This window comes from Homo sapiens, chromosome 17 (genome assembly GCF_000001405.40).
Source record: "Homo sapiens chromosome 17, GRCh38.p14 Primary Assembly".
Taxonomy (NCBI): domain Eukaryota; kingdom Metazoa; phylum Chordata; class Mammalia; order Primates; family Hominidae; genus Homo; species Homo sapiens.
The window spans coordinates 3779549-3801256 of NC_000017.11; the positions used below are offsets into that span (position 1 = coordinate 3779549).

At 48.9% G+C, this 21708-nt stretch overlaps 1 protein-coding gene across 3 annotated transcripts in view, besides 11 other annotated features; it reads right to left on the reverse strand.

Moving 5' to 3' along the window:
• Window positions 1-21640, reverse strand: part of ITGAE (integrin subunit alpha E) — an 86561-nt gene extending 64921 nt beyond the window's left edge. For all 3 annotated transcript variants that reach the window (NM_001425071.1, NM_001425072.1, NM_002208.5), the window contains exon 1: window positions 21563-21640. In NM_001425071.1, coding sequence (NP_001412000.1) covers window positions 21563-21596 — 34 coding nt within the window. In that variant the 5' untranslated portion in view covers window positions 21597-21640. The remainder of the gene's footprint in view (window positions 1-21562) is intronic.
• Window positions 12282-12371: an enhancer, noted in NCBI's record as "active region_11517". NCBI's record gives its function as "activates an Ori minimal core promoter by ATAC-STARR-seq in GM12878 lymphoblastoid cells {active_cell/tissue: GM12878}" and the evidence as "EXISTENCE:reporter gene assay evidence [ECO:0000049][PMID:35858748]".
• Window positions 14636-15358: an enhancer, noted in NCBI's record as "H3K4me1 hESC enhancer chr17:3697478-3698200 (GRCh37/hg19 assembly coordinates)". NCBI's record gives its function as "activates a minimal SCP1, AML or CMV promoter by ChIP-STARR-seq in naive H9 embryonic stem cells {active_cell/tissue: H9 hESC(naive)}" and the evidence as "EXISTENCE:reporter gene assay evidence [ECO:0000049][PMID:30033119]".
• Window positions 15359-16080: an enhancer, noted in NCBI's record as "H3K4me1 hESC enhancer chr17:3698201-3698922 (GRCh37/hg19 assembly coordinates)". NCBI's record gives its function as "activates a minimal SCP1, AML or CMV promoter by ChIP-STARR-seq in naive H9 embryonic stem cells {active_cell/tissue: H9 hESC(naive)}" and the evidence as "EXISTENCE:reporter gene assay evidence [ECO:0000049][PMID:30033119]".
• Window positions 15359-17502: a biological region, named in NCBI's record as "nonconserved acetylation island sequence 85 enhancer".
• Window positions 15841-15890: an enhancer, noted in NCBI's record as "active region_11518". NCBI's record gives its function as "activates an Ori minimal core promoter by ATAC-STARR-seq in GM12878 lymphoblastoid cells {active_cell/tissue: GM12878}" and the evidence as "EXISTENCE:reporter gene assay evidence [ECO:0000049][PMID:35858748]".
• Window positions 15944-17331: an enhancer, noted in NCBI's record as "nonconserved acetylation island sequence 85". NCBI's record gives its function as "activates a minimal heat-shock promoter by reporter assays in Jurkat T cells {active_cell/tissue: Jurkat}" and the evidence as "EXISTENCE:reporter gene assay evidence [ECO:0000049][PMID:17135569]".
• Window positions 16081-16802: an enhancer, noted in NCBI's record as "H3K4me1 hESC enhancer chr17:3698923-3699644 (GRCh37/hg19 assembly coordinates)". NCBI's record gives its function as "activates a minimal SCP1, AML or CMV promoter by ChIP-STARR-seq in naive H9 embryonic stem cells {active_cell/tissue: H9 hESC(naive)}" and the evidence as "EXISTENCE:reporter gene assay evidence [ECO:0000049][PMID:30033119]".
• Window positions 17273-17502: an enhancer, noted in NCBI's record as "active region_11519". NCBI's record gives its function as "activates an Ori minimal core promoter by ATAC-STARR-seq in GM12878 lymphoblastoid cells {active_cell/tissue: GM12878}" and the evidence as "EXISTENCE:reporter gene assay evidence [ECO:0000049][PMID:35858748]".
• Window positions 18218-19116: an enhancer, noted in NCBI's record as "H3K27ac-H3K4me1 hESC enhancer chr17:3701060-3701958 (GRCh37/hg19 assembly coordinates)". NCBI's record gives its function as "activates a minimal SCP1, AML or CMV promoter by ChIP-STARR-seq in naive H9 embryonic stem cells {active_cell/tissue: H9 hESC(naive)}" and the evidence as "EXISTENCE:reporter gene assay evidence [ECO:0000049][PMID:30033119]".
• Window positions 19297-19356: an enhancer, noted in NCBI's record as "active region_11520". NCBI's record gives its function as "activates an Ori minimal core promoter by ATAC-STARR-seq in GM12878 lymphoblastoid cells {active_cell/tissue: GM12878}" and the evidence as "EXISTENCE:reporter gene assay evidence [ECO:0000049][PMID:35858748]".
• Window positions 19367-19416: an enhancer, noted in NCBI's record as "active region_11521". NCBI's record gives its function as "activates an Ori minimal core promoter by ATAC-STARR-seq in GM12878 lymphoblastoid cells {active_cell/tissue: GM12878}" and the evidence as "EXISTENCE:reporter gene assay evidence [ECO:0000049][PMID:35858748]".
• Window positions 21641-21708: the final 68 nt, after the last annotated feature.

Genomic DNA, 21708 nt, shown 5'->3' on the forward strand with positions numbered 1-21708 from the left:
GAACTCCTGACCTCAAGTGATCCACCTGCCTTGGCCTCCCAAAGTGCTGGGATTACAGGTGTGAGCCACCACATCCAGCGTGCAATTTACTTTAAAATGCATCAAAATATAAGATGGCTTGCTGGATGGGTAGATAGATATACGTGATAAAAGAAACACTCAAAAGTGTTGACAATTGTCAAATTTAAGTGTAGTGATGTGGTTGTCCACCATATAATTTTTCAACTTTTCTATATATTTGAAATTTTTCATTTAAAATTTTTTGGGGAAAAATAGATATCGATAGATTACCTCCCAAAGAGGTTTTGCCAATTCATACTCCAACGACAGCATGGGAGAAGGTTTATCTCCCCCAGTGTTGCCTGGACTGACTGTGAAGACATTTTCATCCTTGTTTTAAGAGTATATCATCATCTTGTTCCAAAATTATTATTATTTTTTTAAGATGGAGTTTCGCTCTTGTTGCCCAGGCTGGAGTGCAGTGGCACGATCTCGGCTCACCGCAACCTCTGCCTCCCAGGTTCAAGCGATTCTCCTGCCTCAGCCTCCCGAGTAGCTGGGATTACAGGCATGTGCCACCATGCCCGGCTAATTTTTGGTTTTTTTGTTTGTTTGTTTATTTGTTTTTTTTTTTTTTTTGGAAATGGAGTCACACTCTGTCACCCAGGCTGGAGCGCAGAGGCGAGATCTCAGCTCACTGCAAGCTTTGCCTCCCAGGTTCACACCATTCTCCTGCCTCAGCCTCCTGAGTAGCTGTGACTACAGGCGCCTGCCCGGCTAATTTTTTGTATTTTTAGTAGAGAGGGGGTTTCACCGTGTTAAGCCAGGTTGGTCTCGATCTCCTGACCTCGTGATCCGCCCACCTCGGCCTCCCAAAGTGCTGGGATTACAGGCGTGAGCCACCGCGCCTGGCCTAATTTTGTATTTTTAGTAGAGATGGGGTTTCTCCATGTTGGTCAGGCTAGTTTCGAACTCCTGACCTCAGCTGATCCGCCCACCTCGGCCTCCCAAAGTGCTGGGATTACAGGCGTGAGCCACTGCACCCGGCCAATTTTTGTATTTTCAGTAGAGACGGAGTTTCTCCATTTTGGTTAAGCTGGTCTCGAACTCCCGACTTCAGATGATCCGCCCGCCTCAGCCTCCCAAATATTTTTTACTTTTTATTTTATTGAGACAAGATCTCACTCTGTTGCCCTGGCTGGAGTGCAGTGGCATGATCATGGTTCCCTACAGTCTTTACCTCCAGGGCTCAATCCATCCTCCCGCCTCAGCCTCTCAAGTAGCTGGGACCACAGATGCGCACCAGCAGGCCTGGCTAATTTTTAAAAAATTTTTTGTAGAGATGGTGTCTCACTATGTTGCCCAGGCTGGTCTCCAACTCCTGGGCTCAAGTAATCCTGCCATCTCAGCCTCCCCAAGTGCTGGGATTATAGGCGTCAGCCAACAAGCTCAGCCCCAAAACTATTTTTAAATTATGAGTGAGGTCAAGTCTCTTTTTGTAAGTTTGTTTACTGCCTACTCATGTACATTATTCATTTTCATGAAACGATATTACTTTCTTATTTATTTGTAAGAGCTTTTCTCTATCCAAGAGAAACAGGCAATGTGTTATAGATGCCGCTTCTCACGCAGCTGTTTGTCTTGCATATGCTGTTTTCCCCCACAACTACGTTTTTTGATGTTGTCATATTGTTTTTCCTTTATGACTTCAGCTTCGGGTCATGCTCCTCCACTCAGGCTATTTCTTTTCATCCACTCATGTTTCCTTCTATATTTTTTTTCTTCTTTCATTTCTTTTTTCTTTCTTTCTTTTTTTTTTGAGATAAAGTCTCGCTGAGCCGCCCAGGCTGGAGTGCAGTGGCGCTATCTCGGCTCACTGCAACCACCATCTCCCGGGTTCAAGGGATTCTCCCATCTGAGCCTCTTAAGCCTCCCAAATAGCTGGGATTACAGGCACCCGCCATCATGCCCGGCTAATATTGTATTTTAGTAGAGACGGGGTTTCACCACGTTGGCCAGGATGGTCTTGAACTCCTGACCTCAGGTGATCCGCCCGCCTCAGCCTCCCAAAGTGCTGGGATTACAGGCGTGAGCCAAGGCCCGGTCTCTTCTTTAATTTCTTATGTTCGAACCTTTTGTCCATCTGGATTTTATTTTTACATTTGGAGTGAAATAGGGATACAACTTTACTTTTTTCCCACAGTTGAAATGTCTCATCATTATTTGTTGAGTAGCTCCTCTTAACCCATAGTTTGGAAATGCTACCTTTATCATCCTCAGAATTCACATGCACATTTGGGCCTCTGTCAGGACTCAGCTCTGCCCCACTGACCTCATCGTCTTTTGCTTGGACACGTTAGTCTCCTGGCCTCTTTCAAGACTTGTACTTCTGGATACATCCTCTCCACATCAGATGCTAGAAAGATTTTTTAAAAGCATGGTCTGGGCCGGGTGCGGTGGCTCATGCCTATAATCCCAACATTTTGGGAGGCTGAGGCGGTGGATCACCTGAGGTCAGGAGTTTGAGACCAGCCTGACCAATGTGGTGAAACACTGTCTCTACTAAAAATACAAAAATTAGCCGGGCATGGTGGCGGGTGCCTATAATCCCAGCTACTCGGGAGGCTGACAAGGGAGAATCGCTTGAACCTGGGAGGCACAGGTTGCGGTGAACTGACATCGCGCCATTGCACTCCAGCCCGGGTGAGAGAGTGAGACTCGGCCTCAAAAAAAAAAAAAAAAAAAAAAAAAAAGCATGGTCTGACCATGCCACTCCATTGCTTAAATCTCTAGTGTGTGTGTGTGTGTGTGTGTGTGTGTGTACTTTTTTTTTTTTGAGATGGAGTTTCGCTCTTGTCGCCCGAGCTAGAGTACAATGGTGCAATCTCAGCTCACTGACACCTTCGCCTCCCAGGATCAAGCGATTCTCCTGCCTCAGCCTCCCAAGTAGCCGGGATTACAGGTACACACCACCACCCCCAGCTAATTTTTGTATTTTTAGTAGAGATAGGTTTTCACCGTGTTGGCCAGGCTGGTCTCGAACTCCTGACCTCAGGTGATTCAGCCGTTCAACGTGCTGGGATTACAGGTGTGAGCCACTGCTCCCATCTCTAATCTACATTTACATGGGAAAAAAGCAAGGTGAAGTCCAGTTTACAGACTTACCTGTTCAATTACTGTTCAATTAACGACTTTTGCCATAAACACTCTTGAAAAGCTATACAACTTCTTGGCAACACTCCTTTTTTTGGTTTAGTGACTTTTTCGTCTCTAAATACACTGAGTAAACACGATATAAGGAATGACATTTGACATCGCACTCTCACGGGAAGACACACTCACCCATTTACTTACTATGTAACAGTTTCTAGTCCAACAATATCATATGGAACAAATCTGCGTTGCATGTCATGTTTGGATAAATCCCATATGCCTGCTTTTGCTGATGTATGTCGATTGAGATGGCTGAAGATTCTATGATTCTGAAGTCGATGAGCGCACAGCCTATTTCCATGTGTTTGGAAGTGCTTTTGGGTTCAGTATTTATTTTGCCCTCAAGGTGTTTCTCTGTAACTTTTGCTATGACTTTATTTTTTATTTTTATTTTTTTGAGATGGAGTCTCACTCTGTCGCCCAAGCTGGAGTGCGGTGGCGCGATCTTGGCTCACCGCAACCTCTGGCTCTTGGGTTCAAGCAATTCTCCTGCCTCAGTCTCCGGAGTAGCTGGGATTACAGGCGCCCGCCACCATGCCCAGCTAAGTTTTGTATTATTAGTAGAGACGAGGTTTCACCATGTTGGCCAGGCTGGTCTCATACTCGTCCTGACCTCAAGAGATCCGCCCGCCTCAGCCTCCCAAAGTGCTGGGATTACAGGCGTGAGCCACCGCGCCTAGCCCCCACTGTCAAATCTTGTCTTCTCCTTTTAATGAGGCCAATAAACCTTCATGACAATACATTTTATACGGAAACTGTATTTTTATATTCAAAGTATTGTTTTTATTTATCTAAACTTGTTTTATTGGTCAATTAATACATTTTCCTAACAGTAAAAGTCATTTGAGTATCTTTGGTTGGCTGGAATGCATCACAATTTTTTTAATGAAATTGATGCAAATATTTTTTCCAATTAATGGCTGTTTACTCAGCAGTAGATTTCAGGAAGAAATTAAAATCACTACATGAAGGACAAGTGTATAAACGACACTAGCTTCTGTATAAGGAAGGGAAGGAGATATATGCACACAAATATGTTGTTTTTGATTCACTAGGAAGATGTGACAATTTTAAATCTGTATTTATCCAATAACATCATTTCAAAATATAAAAGCAAAAATTGACTGAATTAAAAGGAAAAATACAAAACACTACAATGAAAGTGGGAGACTTTAACACTTTAATTAAGCCTTTTACGTCAACTATAAAAGCAGACCAGCGGGGCGCGGCGGCTCACGCCTGTAATCCCAGCACTTTGGGAGGCCGAGGCGGGCGGATCACGAGGTCAGGAGATCAAGACCATCCTGGCTAACACGGTGAAACCCCGTCTCTACTAAAAATACAAAAAATTAGCCGGGCGTGGTGGCGGGCGCCTGTAGTCCCAGCTACTCGGGAGGTTGAGGCAGGAGAATGGCGTGAACCCGGGAGGCGGAGCTTGCAGTGAGCCGAGATTGCGCCACTGCACTCCCGCCTGGGCAACAGAGCAAGACTCCATCTCAAAAAAATAAAATAAAATAAAAAAATAAAAATAAAAGCAGACCAAAAATTGAGCAAGGATATAGAAGATATGAACAACATAATTAGCAAAGTTGACCTGACAGACAAAACTCTGTACCCAACAATGGAAAAAGAAACATTTTTCTTTTTTTTTTGAGACGGAGTCTGGCTCTGTCACCAGGCTGGAGTGCAGTGGTGCAATCTTGGCTGACTGCAACCTCCGCTTCCCAGGTTCAAGCGATTCTTCTGCCTCAGCCTCCCGAGTAGCTGGAACTACAGGCACGCGCCACCATGCCCGCCTAATTTTTGTATTTTTAGTAGAGACGGGGTTTCACCATGTTGGCCAGGATGGTCTCAATCTCTTGACCTCGTGATCCACCCACCTCAGCCTCCTAAAGTGCTGGGATTACAGGCGTGAGCCACCGCACCCTCAGAAACATTATTTTCAAGTACACGTGAAACATTTACCAAAATTGACCATATGCTAGATCACAAAGCTAAAGCCTCAATAAATATCAATGAATTGAAATAACTCAGAATATGTTCTCTGACTATACTAGAATCTAAACCAATAACAAAAAGAAAACTAGAGGTCCAGCACAGTGGCTCGTGCCTGTCATCCTAGCCCTGTGGAAGACTGAGGCAGGCAGATTGCTTAAGCTCAGGAGTTCAAGACCAGCCTGGGCAACATGGCTGGTATCTAACAAAAATACCAAACTCCATCTCTACCAAAAATACAAAAAATTAGCCAGGAATGGTGGCATGCACCTATGGTCCCAGCTACTCAGGAGGCTGAGGTGGGAGGACTGCTTGAGCCCAGGAGGTGGAGGTTGCAGTGAGCCAAGATTGTATCACTGCACTCCAGCCTGGGTGACAGAACAAGACCCCATGTAAAAAAAAGAAAAAAGAAAGAAAGGGAAGAAAAGATGGCCGGACATGGTGGCTCATGCCTGCAACCCCAGCACTTTGGGAGGCCGAGGCAGGCGGATCACTTGAGGTCAGGAGTTCAAAACCACCCTGGCCAACATGGTGAAGCCCCATCTCTACTAAAAACACAAAAATCAGGCAGGCATGCTGACAGCCACCTGTAATCCCAACCACTTGGGAGGCTGAGACAGGAGAATCACTTGAACCAGGGAGGTGGAGGTTGCAGTGAGCCGAGATCGTGCCATTGCACTCCAGCCTAGGCACAGAGTGAGACTTGGGAAAGAAGAAAGAAAGGAAGGAAGGAAGGAAGGAGGAAGGAAGGAAGGAAGGAAGGAAGGAAGGAAGGAAGGAAGGAAGGAAGGAAGGAAGGAAAACTAGAAAAATCTGAACCTCGTGAAAATTAAGCAATGCATTTCTAAATAACCCAGGGTGAAAGATAAAATTACAGTGGAATAGCAAATCAGACCTAAAGGAAGTACGGGAAGGAATAAAGATATGAACACGTATCAATGAAACAGCAAACCAACTTACAGTAGAGAAAACTAATGATGCTGAAGTTTTTTTTAAAGATTTTTAAAATGATAAATCACTAGCAATACTGAACAAGAAAAAAAAAAGAGAACACACAAATTACCAACATGAATAAAAAATAGAAAGGGGGGACATCATAATAGATCCTAAGACATTTAAAAAATAGAGGGGCCAGGCGAGGTGGCTGACTCCTGTAATCCCAGAACTTTGGGAGGCCGAGGCGGGCGGATCACGAGGCCAGGAGATCGAGACCGTCCTGGCTAACACGGTGAAACCCCGTCTCTACTGAAAATACAAAAAATTAGCCGGGCGTGGTGGCGGGCGCCTGTAGTCCCAGCTACTCGGGAGGCTGAGGCAGGAGAATGGCGTGAACCCGGGAGGCGGAGCTTGCAGTGAGCCGAGATCGCGCCACTGCACTCCAGCCTGGGTGACAGAGAGAGACTCCATCTCAAAAAAAAAAAAAAAAAAAAGTAAGAGGATGTTATATCCAACCTTATGCCAGTAAACTTGACAATCTGGGTGAAATGAACAAATTCCTTGAAATAGAAATGCACCAAAACTAACAAAAAAAGAAATGTATCACCTGAGTAAGATATTTTACTCATGACTAAAAATCTTAGGGAGATCTCTACGCCCAGATAGCTTCACTGACGAATTTTTCCAAACATTTAAAGAGAAATAATGCCAAGTTTATATAAACTGTTTTAGAGAATAGAAAATGAGAAAACATTTTTCAGTCATTTTATGAAGCCAGTATAACATTGATATTAAAATCCAGCAAGCACAATAAATGAAAGGAAAATTGAAACAACCGTCTCTCTCGAACATAAATACAAAAATGCTGCACAAAATTCCAGTAAATCAAATCCAGGGAATTATAAAAAGCATAATACGGCCGGGTGCAGTGGCTCATGCCTGTAATCCCAGCACTTTGGGAGGCCAAGGCCAGCGGATCACGAGGTCAAGAGATTGAGACTATCCTGGCCAACATGGTGAAACTCCATCTCTACTAAAAATGCAAAAATTAGCTGGGCGTGGTGGCGCACACCTGTAGTCCCAGCTACTCGGGAGGCTGAGGCAGGAGGATCACTTGAACCCGGGAGGCGGAGGTTGCAGTCAGCCAAGATTGCGCCACTGCACTCCAGCCTGGTGACAGAGCGAGACTCCATCTCAAAAAAAAAAAAAAAAAAAAAGCATGATACATCAAAACAAGCAGAGTTCATTTCGGAAATGGAAGAGTGGTTTGACATTTAAAATAATCAGTTTACTCCTTACAACAGGAAATAAAGGATTAAAAATCATATGATTATGATAGATGCAGAAAATGGCATCTGATAAAATCCAAGACTAATTTCTGATAAAAAGTCCTAGCAAACCAGGAATCAGAGGGAATTTTTTTTTCCTTTTTTTTTTGAGATGGAGTCTCACTCTGTCGCCCAGGCTGGAGTGCAGTGGTGTGATCTCGGCTCACTACAACCTCCGCCTCCCTGGTTCAAGCGATTCTCCTGCCTCAGCCTCCCAAGTAGCTGGGATTACAGGCATGTGCCACCACACCCGCCTAAGTTTTGTATTTTTATTAGAGACAGGGTTTCCCCATGTTGGCCAGGCTGGTCTTGAACTCCTGACCTCAGGTGATCCGCCCACCTCAGCCTCCCAAAGTGCTGGGATTACAGGCATGAGCCACCATGCCCGGCTGTGAATTTCTTTAATCTGATGAAGAATTAAAGCGGTGGGGTCTAGCTATGTTGCCCAGGCTGATTTCATACACCGGCCTTAAGCAATCCTCCCGCCCTGGCATACCAAAGCCCTGGGTTTCCAGGTGTGAGCCACTGTGTCTGGCCTGCTATGAGTGTCTTGCAGACGTCTTCATGACCATATGAACACATTCCTGTTGGGCATATGTCTAACCGTGGAACTTCTGGATCCTGTTAAGCATATGTTCAGCTTTAGTGGATACTGACAAATGGTTTTCTCTTTTTTTTTTTTTTTGAGAGGGAGTTTTGCTCCGTCGCCCAGGCTGGAGTGCCATGGCACAATCTCAGCTCACTGCAATCTCCACCTCTCGAGTTCAAGTGATTCTCCTGCCTCAGCCTCCTGAGTACCTGGAATTACAGATGCCCGCCACCACGCCCGGGTAATTTTTGTATTTTTAGTAGAGATGGGCTTTTCGCCATGTTGGCCAGGCTGCTCTCGAACTCCTGACCTCAGGTGATCCACCCGTCTTGGCCTCCCAAAGTGCTGGGATTACAGGTGTGAGCCACCACACCTGGTTTTAATTTGCCTTTCTCTGACGTCTGAAGTCTCCTTACAAGATTCCTGACTATTTTGATAATCTCTTTTGTGAAATGTCCTTTTTCTGTTTGTGGACATGCCTTTTTCTTATTGATTTGTAGAAATTCTTTACATATTCTGAAGTTAATCTTTTATCAATTTGTGTTGCAATTATTTTCTTATTCTGTGGTTTGCCTTTTCACTCACTTACTTTTTTTTTTTTTTGATAAACAGATGTTCTTAAGTTTAATGAAGTTCAAAAAAAATTTTTTTAGCCCCCAAGGTTGTACACAGTATGTTTTCTTTCTTTTTTGCTTTTTGAGACTGGCTGTCACTCTTTTGCCCAGCCTGGAGTGCAGTGGTGTGATCACAGTTCACTGCAGCCTCAACTTCCTGGGCTCAAGTGGTTTTCCTGCCTCAGCCTTTCGAGTAGCTGGGACTATAGGCCTGTGCCACCAGACCTGACTAATTTTTTTTTTTTTTTTTTTTTTTGGTAGAGGCGAGGTTTCACTGTGTTGTTCAAGCTGGTCTTGAACTCCTAGGTTCAGGTGATCCTCCCACCTTGGGCTCCCAAAGTGCTGAGATTACAGGTGTGAGCCACTGTGCCCAGCCTGTTCTGTTTCTTGATACGGGTGTGACTTAATATGAACATTTACTGATCTAAATTTGTCCATTTTTCTGTATGTTGTACTTTTAAAAAGTCTACATTAAAAATAATAATTATTAAAATAATTATTTAAAAATAATAATTATTAAAATAATTATTTAAAAATAATAATTATTAAAATAATTATTTAAAAATAATAATTATTAAAATAATTATTTAAAAATAATAATTATTAAAATAATTATTTAAAAATAATAATTATAATTAAAATATTTTTTAGAATAAGAATTACAAGTATGTGAAACACACTGAATATATAAAACTTTCATAAGTTCATGATATTTACAAGAGAGAGAAAAATAAAAACAAAAGAAATCAAGGTGACTCACGCCTGTAATCCCAGCACTTTGGGAGGCTGAGGTGGGAGGATCACTTACACTCGGGAGCTCAAGACCAACCTGGGCAATACAGTGAGACTCCGTTTCTACAAAAAAATTAAAAAATTAGCTGCACACAGTGGAGCCTGCCTGTGGTCCTAGCTACTTGGGAGGCTGAGGTGGGAGAATCACTTGAGCCCAGGAAGTTGAGGCTGCAGTGAGCCTTGATCACACCACAGCACTCCAGCCTGAGTGACAAAGCAAGACTGTCTCCAAAAAAAAGAAACGAAAAAGAAAATTTGCTACCAATGGAAGTAAAAAGGGCACCATCTCTTTACTCTGAAAACTGACTGTTAGGAAAAGTATTAAGCATTTTTCTTGCCTTTCCTACATGAAGTGCATTTCAGGGCCATCAAATCATCCTGGTTAATGAGAAAAAGTACTTCTTGTCTTTTAAGTTTTCCTTCCTTCCTTCCTTCCTCCCCCCTCCCTCCCTCCCTCCCTTCCCTCTCTCTCTTTCCTTCTTTTTTTTTGTTTTTTGTTTTTTGAGATGGAGTCTCGCTCTGTCACCCAGGCTGGAGTGCAGTGGTGCAATCTCGGCTCACTGCAACCTCTGCCTCCCAGGTTCAAGCGATTCTCCTGCCTCAACCTCCCCTGTAGCTGGGATTGCAGGCATGTGCCACCACACCCAGATCAATTTTGTATTTTTTGTAGAGATGGAGTTTCACTCTGTTGGCCAGGCTGGTCTTGAACTCCTGATCTCAAGTAATCTGCCCCCACTTGGCCTCTCAAATGCTGGGATTTCAGGCGTGAGCCACCTCACCCAGCCTTAAATTTATTTTTCATTTGTTCATCTGGCCCTTATAAAAATGGCATGAAAAACGTCTTTTTTATGGATAAATTATTACTAATAAATGTAGGAAGAATAATAGAACCAAACTATTTTGTGAGCCCTAATGAAATACAATAATTAATTCAGGCCAGGATCATCAACAGGTAAAGCTTCTAAATGAGAGTCTGATAGACTAACTTTACAATTAGGCTGACACCACCTGAGCCCACTAGTCAATCTTAGCATCCCTAGGAGTGGGCCTCTCAGGCATGTCCTTCTTGGTGTGACACTCTAGGAAGGATCTAAGGGCCCAAGACTACATTTCCAACAAGATTCTAAGGGACACCCACACTGCAGGTCTTCAGACCACATTCTGAGTACCAAGGCTTTAAAACACTTCAGCAAAGAAAAGAAAAAGAAGGGCCAGGCACAGTGGCTCAGGCCTGTAATCCCAGCATTTTGGGAGGCCGACATGGGTGGATCACCTGAGGTCAGGAGTTCAAGACCAGCCCAGCCAACACAGTGAAACCCTATCTCTACTAAAAATACAAAAATTAGCTGGGCGTAGTGGCGCATGCCTGTAGTCCTAGCTGCTTGGGAGGCTGAGGCAGGAGACTCGCTTGAACCTGGGAGGCGGAGGTTGCAGTGAGCCGAGATCGCACCACTGCACTCCAGCCTGGTGATAGAGCAAGACTCCGTCTCAAACAAACACACACACACACACACACAAAAGAAAAAGAGGTGAAATAACTGCAGGAAGTGGGGCAAAATCCTCACAACTGCTTAGAGTGTGCTCGCCACAGAACTGAAACCTGACGTTAAACTTCCAGTTTTCAGGCAGTTTGGGGAATAAAAAGACAAATCACACCAAGAGGAAGCAAACACACAAATCCTGAACATAGATATTCTGCAACACACGTGACCAAACTCTGCCATAAATCAAAGGCATGAAAGCAGAAAATGGGGATGGGGGTGCACTCCAGACGGAGAGCCACAGCAACCGCATGTCATGTGCGGACCTTGTTTGGATCTTGCTTTGAACAAACCAACTGTTAAAAAGACATTTGGAGGCCGGGCATGGTGGCTCACGCCTGTAATCCCAGCACTTTGGGAGGCCAAGGCAGGCAGATCACGAGGTCAGGAGATCGAGACCGTCCTGGCTAACACGGTGAAACCCCTTCTCTACTAAAACTACAAAAAAATTAGCCAGGCGTGGTGGTGGGCGCCTCTAGTCCCAGCTACTTGGGAGGCTGAGGCAGGAGAATGGCGTGAACCCAGGAGGCAGAGCTTGCAGTGAGCAGAGATCGCGCCACTGCACTCCAGCCTGGGCGACAGAGCGAGACTCTGTCTCAAAAAAAAAAAAAAAAAAGACATTTTGAGACAGAGAGATTTGTATATGGACTAAGTATTTGGTATTAGATGATACCAAAGAATTAATTTAGTTAGGTGGTAAGAACATTGTGGCTATTTAAGAAAATGTCCACGTTCTTTATTATTGAGACTGAGTCGTACTCTGTTGCCCAGGCTGGAGTGCAGTGGTGCGATCTCAGCTCACTACAACCTCTGTCTCCCGGATTCAAGTGATTCTCCTGCCTCAGCCTCCTGAGTAGCTGGGATTACAGGGGTGTGCCAACATGCCTGGCTAATTTTTGTACTTTTAGTAGAGATGGGGTTTCGCCATGTTGGCCAGGCTGATTTCAAACTCCTGACCTCAGGTGATCCACCAGCCTCAGCCTCCCAAAGTGCTGGGATTACAGGTGTGAGCCACCACGCCCGGCCCTTCATGTTCTTTAGAAATGAAAATGTCCATGTTTTTTGGGAGTGAAATGACACGATGTTTGGGGTTTAAAATACTGTTTCTGAAACATTAGCGTGCAAATGAGTCATCGGAGATCTTGTTAAAATGCAGATTCTGACTCAGCAGATAATGAATCAGAATGGGGCTGGGAGTCTGTTCCAACAAGCTCCCAGACGATGCTCTCACTGCTGGTCCTCAGGTCACATTTTGAGCAGCCAGGCTTTAAATACCTTGACAACAAAAATGAAAAGGGGAACACAAAATACATTCAGCTTGTGTGGCAGGATCTTGATCATTGTGTCATCCGCTTGATGGACATATTGGCTTTGTTATAGTTATCTCGTTTACCTGTGTACATGCTTAAAATTTTATTATCCAAAAATCAACCTTCCAGACTTGAGGAGGAGGAGGAACCTGGGGAGATGGCTCTGAGGCCAGGCTCTGGATCTCTCATCCCTGCATTTAAGGCCATTTCCCTGAGTCTGGCACAAAGTAGATATCTATATTTAATTTTATTTTATTTATGTATTTATTTTTTGAGATGGAGTCTGGCCCTGTTGCCCAGGCTGGAGGGCAGTGGCGCGATCTCGGCTCACTGCAGCCTCTGCCTCCCGGGTTCAAGCGATTCTCCTGCCTCGGCCTCCTGAGTAGCTGGGATTATAGGCACGCACCACCACACCTGGATAATTTTTGTATTTTTAGTAGAGGTGGGGTTTCACCATATTGCCCAGGCTGGTATTGAACTCCTCAGGTGATCCGCCCGCCTTGGCCTCCCAAAGTGCTGGGATTACACGCGTGAGCCACCGCGCCCGGCCTGATATCTATATTTTATTCCTTTTTCTTCACATCTCTGCCTCGCCTGGAATGATTTGTGGTGATTCATAAAAATACATAATACAGGTAAGATAAAACTCGCTTAAAATAATGGGGCAGGCAAAAAAGAACAGAAGGAAAATGATGGTTTAAAAAAAGAGGGGGATACAACAAGCCAGGAAGGAGGCCAACAGCTAACATGTAGATCACGCAGTGCCAGCACTTTCTATCACGTGCCCCACTGTTGGCTCTGAACACAGCGCTGGCTCACAGAAGTGTTCCTAAAATCCTTTGGCTTAATAAAATCATTTGTTGATTCAACGCATACATGAATGAATGAAGCTTTCTTGAAGGTGATATCAACATGAAAAAGATCAGTTAATGCCATGCGGTGTCCACAAAATTCAAAAAACAAAACACTTCCAGGCAAAGCACAACCAGTCTGGTTATTCAAATCAGAGAAAAAACTGTCCCTAAGGGTCCTTTGTGAGAACACAATGAAGAAACCCTGCACCCCAGCTTTTGCAGACCTGTGATTTGTGTCCTCCCTGCCAATGCCCCAAAGTAGAAAACACAGGAAACATAACCAGACCAGACGTTCTTGTTTGGGGGTAATGGATCCCTTTGAGAATCTTTTTCTTTTTTCTTTTTTTTTTAGACAGAGTCTCACTCTGTCGCCCAGGCTGGAATGCAGTGGCACAACTTTCGTCTCACTGCAACCTCCGCCTCCCGGGTTCAAGCGATTCTCCTGCCTCAGCCTCCTGAGTAGCTGGGAAAACAGGTGCCCATCACCATGCCCAGCTAATTTTTTGTATTTTTAGTAGAGATGGGGTTTCGCCATATTGGCCAGGCTGGTCTCCATCTCCTGACGTCCTGATCCACCTGCCTCAGCCTCCAAAGTGCTGGGATTACAGGTGTGAGCCATCATGCCCGGCCTTTTTTTCTTCATTTTGAGTTGGAGTCTCACTCTGTCACCCAGGCTGGACTGCAATGGTGTGATCTTGGCTCACCGCAACCCCCACCTCCTCAGTTCAAGTGATTCTCCTGTCTCACGTGGGCCCTGGGGCCGGAGCCCAGACTCCCTACTGGGCATCCCTTATCTCAGCTCTGGATTCGTGGGGGAGCAGCAGGAACAGTACAGCCTTCTTCCCTGCCTAGGGGTCTTGATCTGGAACCTTTGAGAGTCTATGTAGGCTGTAAGTGGCCACTCTCCCAGCACCTACCGAGTGTAGGCCAGGACTCAAAATACTGGGTCTCTGGAGTAGCTGGGACTACAGGCACATGCCAGCACTCCTGGCTAATTTTTGTATTTTTAGTAGAGATGTGGTTTCACCGTGTTAGCCGGGATGGTCTCGAACTCCTGGCCTCGTGATCCACCACCTTGGCCTCCCAAAGTGCTGGGATTACAGGTGTGAGCCACTGCACCTGGCCCCCTTTGAGAATCTGATGGAAGCATTGGAGCCCTTCCTGATCCCCTGAGTGCACATGTGTACAAAATCCTCCCCTTGCCTGATTGAAGTGCTCTGTCCTCAGCCTGTCTCCTGGCTTCCTCTTCATCCTTTTTTTTTTTTTTTTTTTTTTGAGATGGAGTCTTGCTATTGTCGCCCAGGCTGGAGTGCAATGGCACGATCTCGGCTCATTGCAACCTCCGCCTCCTGGGTTCAAGCGATTCTCCTGCCTAAGCCTCCCAAGTAGCTGGGATTACAGGCACCTGCCACCACACCGGACTAATTTTTGTATTTTTAGTAGAGACGGGGTTTTGCCATGTTGGTCAGGCTGGTCTTGAACTCCTGACCTTGTGATCCGCCCGCCTCGGCCTCCTAAAGTGCTGGAATTACAGGCGTGAGCCACCGTGCCTGGCCTCTAATTTTTTTTTAAATTTTTTGTAGAGATGGGGGTCTTGCTATGTTGTCCAGGCTGGACTCAAATTCCTGGGCTCAAGTGATCCTCCAGTCTTGGCCTCCCTAAGTGCTGGGATTACAGGAGTGAGCCACTGTGCTTGGCCTTCCTTGTTTCCCTATTGCCAGTGACTGCCCCCTGCCACCAGTGAGTCCAAGGGGGCACACACTGCATCTGCCTCGATCGCCACATTATCTCAGGGCCTGGCATGGTGGCCCACCCTCGGTAGGTGCTGGGAGAGTGGCCACTTACAGCCTACATAGACTCTCAAAGGTTCCAGATCAAGACCCCTAGGCAGGGAAGAAGGCCGTACTGTTCCCGCTGCTCCCCCACGAATCCAGAACTGAGATAAAGGACGCCCAGTAGGGAGTCTGGGCTCCGGCCCCGGGGCCCACGTCACGTTGAGCCCTGTGCCTCCTGGTCAGTCACTCTGGGGAAAAAACAGGACGTCAGCAAACTGCCTAGAGGAGAATTAAAAAGTGCGAGCTGCCAACATGTTACGAGGGGTGGGTGGGGGGCCTTCTTCCCCCCGTTTCACTGTCGGTATAACTGAAAAGGCACGAGTGGAGGCCGCAGAGCAAAGTCCAGTCTCCTCTCCTGGGCGTCCGTGGCACCCCCCCGCTCTGCCCGGCGCACCCTCTGCACACTCCTGCCTCCAGGCCTCGACACAGCGGCTCCCTCCACCCAGCAGGCCTGCTCAGCACTCTCCACCTCTGTCTGCAAAGCCCGTCTTTTGTGGCCCTGCTCAGCCAGCCAGGAGCCAGGAGCCAATCCAGACTCAGTCAGAGTAACTCCCGGGTCCCTGAGCCCCCTCAGCACCCTGTGGTCTGTCTGGCTCTGACCAAACCCTGAGCCCCCTCAGCATCCTGTGGTCTGTCTGGCTGTGACCAAATTCTGTCTGGATCAGGGTGATCTGTGATTCAGTTTGTCTGCCCTGAACTGTGATGTGATCTGAGTCACACACAACACCCCCAGCCACAGAGCCCAGCTCAGCGCAGGGCCAGGCCCACCCAAAAAAGGTGCTCTAAAAAGGTCAGAGTGGGCCAGATATTCCCTTTCCTCACGCCACCCCACCCCTGTGTTCACTTTGTTCAACAGAGATCTTGTTCAACTGAGGGTTCCGCTCCCCCAGAGCACCTGTTGCCTTCCAGGCACCACGCTAGGTGCTGAGGCTCAGAGAGGGGTGTGGTTTGTGCATGGCCCGTCGGAAGATTGAATATTTGTGTCTGGGGCTCAGATTCTGTGTTTATGCCCGATTTCAAAGCCTTTAGTAATAGCTGGAGGCACCGAGGGGTTGGTAAACAGAGAGAGGCCAGGGTCACAAATGGCCTCAAGAAGCTGGGCACTGCTCCTGCCGTGCGGCGGCTCACTGAGCTGGAGCAGGGCTCTGCTTACAGGGCTGGTAACTAGGTCAGCAAGAGCCTGCCGCAGAGGCACGGTGGCATGAGACTGTGTACGTGCGTGTGTGCATGTGTGTGCATCCGTGTGTGCTTGTGTGCATCCGTGTGCATCCCTGTGTGTGCATGTGTGCATCTGTGTGTGTGCATCCATGTGCATCCGTGTGCGTGTGCATCCGTGTGTGTGCATCTGTGTATGCGCATCCGTGTGTGTGCATCCGTGTGTGTGCATCCGTGTGTGCATCCCTGTGTGTGCGTGTGTGCATCCGTGTGTGCATCTGTGTGTGCATCCGTGTGTGCATCCATGTGCGCGTGTGTGCGTGTGCATCCGTGTGTGCATCTGTGTGTGTGCATCCGTGTTTGTGCATCCCTGTGTATGCATCCGTGTGTGTGCATCCCTGTGTGCATCCCTGTGTGTGCATCCATGTGTGTGCATCCGTGTGTGTGTGTGTGTGCATCCGTGTGTGTGTGTGTGTGTGTGTGGTGGGGTAGTTCGCTGTATTTGCTGGGCTTTCCCTGAGAGCCAGCTGGTGCCCAGGTCTGCCAGGCCTGGCTCAGCTTGTTTCCTCAGACTGGACTCGCCCCAGGCCCAACAGTTTGCCTTTGAGCTGCGCCTCCATCAGGAAACCACCTCCTGTTGCATTTCCCACCAGGACTCAGAAAACAGCATTGTCTTGGTAGATGGTCTTGAGTTCAAATCCTCACTGCCTTGGAGTCACTGAAGGACCCTGGGCTTGGCACCTCGCTTCCGTCTCCCCTCTGGGACATGGGGCTGTGCAGATCAAATGGGGCGATACGCGGCCCCAGGTCTGACGCAGGAGGCTCAGCACGTGGAGGCTGAGGTTGGAGAGAGTTATAACCACAGGCGAGGGCTGGCCCTCCCTCCCAATCCCCCCTCCCGTGTTGTCTGACTTACAGACATAGCTACACCAGTGTCTGTCACCACACTACCCACAGGACCACCTCTCTGAGCTGTCCCCAGCCACGGAGGCCTGCTGAGTCAGACCGAGATCCCCCTCCATCCTGTCAGCCACCACTGTCTCCCCTCAACCCTCTGTCTCCCCCAGCACACCGGGCAATTTCAACTCACATTCTCACAGTACAATAAGTACCACGATTCCCAATTTAGGAAACCGAGGCCCATGGGGCATGATTTGCCCACACTGATACCAGGAGCTGAAGAAGTGGGGCTAGATGCAGGGGTCCCGACACCCCGCCCAGAACACCCAGCGGGGCCTCGTGGGAGGACTGTGCCTCAGAGCCATCTGCAGCCAGCCGCAGTCCCCCCACCTCGATCTTCTACACGGAGCCTCATCAACTCCACCCCAAACCTCACAGTCAGCTGAGCCCATCTCTCTCCCTCACCCTTCATCTCCCTAATAACAAGAAAGGCCAACAGGCCTTGAGCACTACTGTGTGCTGGAAACTAAATATATATATATATATATTTTTTTTTTTTTTTTTTTTTTTTTTGAGACGGAGTCTCGCTCTGTCGCCCAGGCTGGAGTGCAGTGGCGCAATCTCGGCTCACTGCAAGCTCCGCCTCCCGGGTTCACGCCATTCTCCTGCCTCAGCCTCCCGAGTAGCTGGGACTACAGGCACCCGCCACCATGCCCAGCTAATTTTTTGTGTTTTTAGTAGAGACGGAGTTTCACTGTGTTAGCCAGGATGGTCTCGATCTCCTGACCTCATGATCTGCCCACCTTGGCCTCCTAAAGTGCTGGGATTACAGGCTTGAGCCACTGCGCCTGGCCTTTTTTTTTTTTTTGAGACGGTGTCTCTCTCTGTCTTCCAGGCTGGAGTGCAGTGGTGTGATCTCAGCTCACTGCAACCTCTGCCTCCTGGGTTCAAGCAATTCTCCTGCCTCAGCCTCCCAAGTAGCTGGAATTACAGGTGCGCACCACCATGCCTGGCTCATTTTTGTATTTTTAGTAGAGACGGGGTTTCACCGTGTTGGCCAGGATGGTCTTGAACTCCTGATCACAAGTGCTCTGCCCGCCTTGGCCTCCCATAGTGCTGGGATTTCAGGCGTGAGCCACCGTGCCTGGCCAGGAAACTAAACGTTTCTCATGAGTGTGTCCTCCTCCCCACGTCTGCCTTCCGCAACAGCCGCAGATGGGGCCAAGGCAGCAGCCTCCTCACGGGCCTCTCTGCCTCCCCTCTCCCCCAGATTCCAACTAACACACAACATACAATTCTGTCGCCATCCTGGTCAAGACCTTCTGTGGCTCCCCACTGCCCTCAGCAGGAACTCCAAGCTCCCCCAGGCCGGCACTCAGGTCCCCACGTTCCTCACCACCTCCACCGTGGGCCTCTCGGGACTGGATGCCCGCATTCCTCCACTTATACCACACCTGCCACACGAATGCAGGCCTCCCAGAGAAGGGCAGGGATGTGGGGCTCCCACACGGCCCACACTCCCCCAGCCAGCTCTCCCCCACACACTGCATTCCGGGGGCATTTCACCTTTGCTTGGGCTGCCCCTCTGCCTGGAGTGCCCCTTCCCTACCCCCGTGCTGTGACACCCTGCCGGGGCCGGGGAGGCTACTGTGTGCACAACCTGCCTTCTCTTCACACAGGGGCTGGGATAGGGGTGGCCTCGCCTCTGCCCGCACCTCCAGGGCCCAGCATGTCCCGATTTGGGGCGGGGCTGGAAGGGAAAGCAACACCAGAGGAGACAATCTCCTGCTCCCACTCACACTTCGCCTCCATCTTCCTACAAACCAGACTCTTCACACCCCAGGGCTTGGTCCCTCCTATCCCCCCTGCACAGAAGGCCCCTCTGCTCACCCCCAGCCTGTACTTGCCAAGGACCTCCCCGTCCTTCAGAGCCCACCTCAGATGCTACAGTCTCCCACTCCCCAAGGACTGAGGTTTTCTATCACGCACAGGCCCGGGGTGATGCCCCGGCACAGCCCCTGGCCTCAGCCCGAGTGCGTGCCACCAGCAGAGCGGGCCCTGGACTTCTGGTTCCTTCTTCTTCACCCCTGTAAGGTGTTGTAGGCTGACAGGACAGGCTTCTTCACGCAAGGGTGGAAACTCAACCTCTGAGACCCAGGATGGAGAAGTGAGTTGATGTGACTGCAGAATGAGTCAGGGGTGAAGACTGACTTGGGGACAGCAGGCCACAGGGTAAGAGGGCATGATGGGGCTGGTGGTCAGGGTGTGGACAGTTCCAGGGTTTCAGTGTCTGTCTGCACCCAATGCTTCTAAAATCTCCCTTAGACAACTGCTATTATTCCGTCTGCTGCCACAAATAAGAAGTAGGCATCACCAGAGTGGCTGGCCTGGAGAGAGTGGAAGGTCAGGGCCAGGCCAGGCCAGTCCTGGATTCTCTCCAGCCTAAGGAGGCCCAACCCGGCACAGGGTACAGGGTGCTGGGCCTGGAGCCACAGTCTGAGGGAGTTCTTCCTCCCAGCATCTCCTGGACATTTTCTTTCTCAGACTCTCCTCAGCCCCCAAGACTCAACGCCACCTCACCTCCTCCAGGAAACTCTCCTGGACTGGCCCATCCTAGTCTCAGGACCTCACAGCATGGAGCAGAACTGCAGCAGCCTCGTTTCCGCCACCCACACCGGAGCTGCGGGGGCCCTGCTCTGGTCCCCTTCCCGTGGCTGAGCTGAGCTGTGGGCTAAGTGGTCTCATGGCAAGTCTGCTCCATCATCGCTCTCTGCTGCCCATCAGCTTGGGAAGGGCCTAGGCCTCAAAAGAGGTTTGATCGATGCCACCTGCTGGAAAAGGCACTGAGGTGATGGGTGGTGGTCTCAGAGGCTAAAGGAGACAGATGAGCCACAGGAGTATTCTGGAGCTGGGAGGCAGGACAGAGGCCTGGGCTTGAGCCTCGTGTCTATTATCAGTTGCTTGCAAGCCTGGGTAGTCACTGCCCGCTCTGTGCCCCAGTCACCTCCTCTGTACTGGGAGAGGGTAGACAAGAGTCTAGTCTAAGCATCTGCTCCAGATATTCTTGGTAATGGGAGATCAAAGCCACAAGCCATAAAAAGAGTGAGACTCTCTCCACACCCCACATGTAACTAAAAACAGAGAAGTCTAAATTGTAAAATAAAAGGAAGTTCAACAAACTGTTGACCTTTCCATGGTGACTATTCTGATGTTTTTGAAATATAAAATATTAGGCCGGGCAAGGTGGCTCATGCCTGTAGTCCCAACACTTTGGGAGGCCGAGGCAGGTCGATCACCTGAGGGCAGGAGACCAGCCTGACCAATATGGTGAGACCCTGTCTCTACTAAAAATACAAAAATTAGCCAGGCGTGGTGGCAGGCGCCTGTAATCCCAGCTACTCGGGAGGCTGAGGCAGGAGAACTGCTTGAACCTGGGAGGCAGAAGTTATGGTGAGCCAAGATCCAGCCTGGGCTCCAGCCTGGGCAGCAGAGCAAGACTCTGTCTCAAAAAATAAAATAAAATAAAATGAAATATAAAATATTAAAATCTGTCCAAAAACGTGTTCCTTGCTGGTACCCTACACATTGTGGCCTGCTTCCTGGGTGATCTGGCCCCAGGTGGGATGCTAATCCCAAGTCCCCTCCCAGCACAGCCTCAGCCCATCTTTCAGGGAGAACTCAGCTACCAGGAGCCTTTCATCCACATAAGCTTGATGCCCATCCAATTCTCCGGCCAACCTCCTGAGCAGGGGCAGGAGACCCATGGGAAGTCTGCTCAGATCACTAGGCAGGACCACCCTGGCCTCCGGCTTAATCTTAGCAGCCTCCAGGGGCTCACCTGACCGTGCTGTCTCATCACAGGGGGCCCCCGAAAGGACTCATGGCTTGGCTTGCCCAGAGGCTTCCATGGGACAGTTAAAGGCTAAAATGGGACCCCCCAGGCAGCAGAAGTGCCTCCCCCCACCCCACATTCCAGTTTTTACCCTGGGCCTGACAACACAGGAAGCAGGCTCCCTGCCAACACTCACACCCTCTACCATACAGACACTTGCCCCCAGTCTCTGGTCAACACTCTCTCACAGGGTCCTCACCCTCATCAGCCCAACCCCTGCTCTGTAACAGAAGGGAGCTCTGCCAGGCGGAGCCTCCACACTCAGAGAACAAACTACAGAGTCAAGGACCTGCCCCAAGTGGGTGCCATGGGGAGAGGGCCTCGGTGGCGGGGGGAGGCTGGCTGGAGGAGGAACAGAATGGCAGAGCCCTGGAGTCCAAAGGCCCTGGCTGACAGAACTGGCAACACGAAGCCTCAGCCGCCCTTCCCAACAAGCCTGGGGCCCTGACCCACCGAGCAAGACTCCTTTCCTGGAGGAGCTGCCACTCTCTAACCTCTGGCTCTAACTGAGCCCCATCAGAGACAGACAGTCAAGGCTGTAGTCTGCAGACACCTGGCTGGAGCTGAGGGCACAGCAGCCCCTCGAAGCAGCGGGTGAGAGGACTTACTGGCTATGCAGAGCAGAGTGTGGAAGAGCCACATCCTTGCTGGAGCAGAGGCGGCTGTGTGGGAGCCGAGGCGAGTGCGACACATGGGCCGTGGCCCACTCAGCTTCCCCTCAGCCAGGAGGCCAGGAGGCGGGGACAGAAGCACA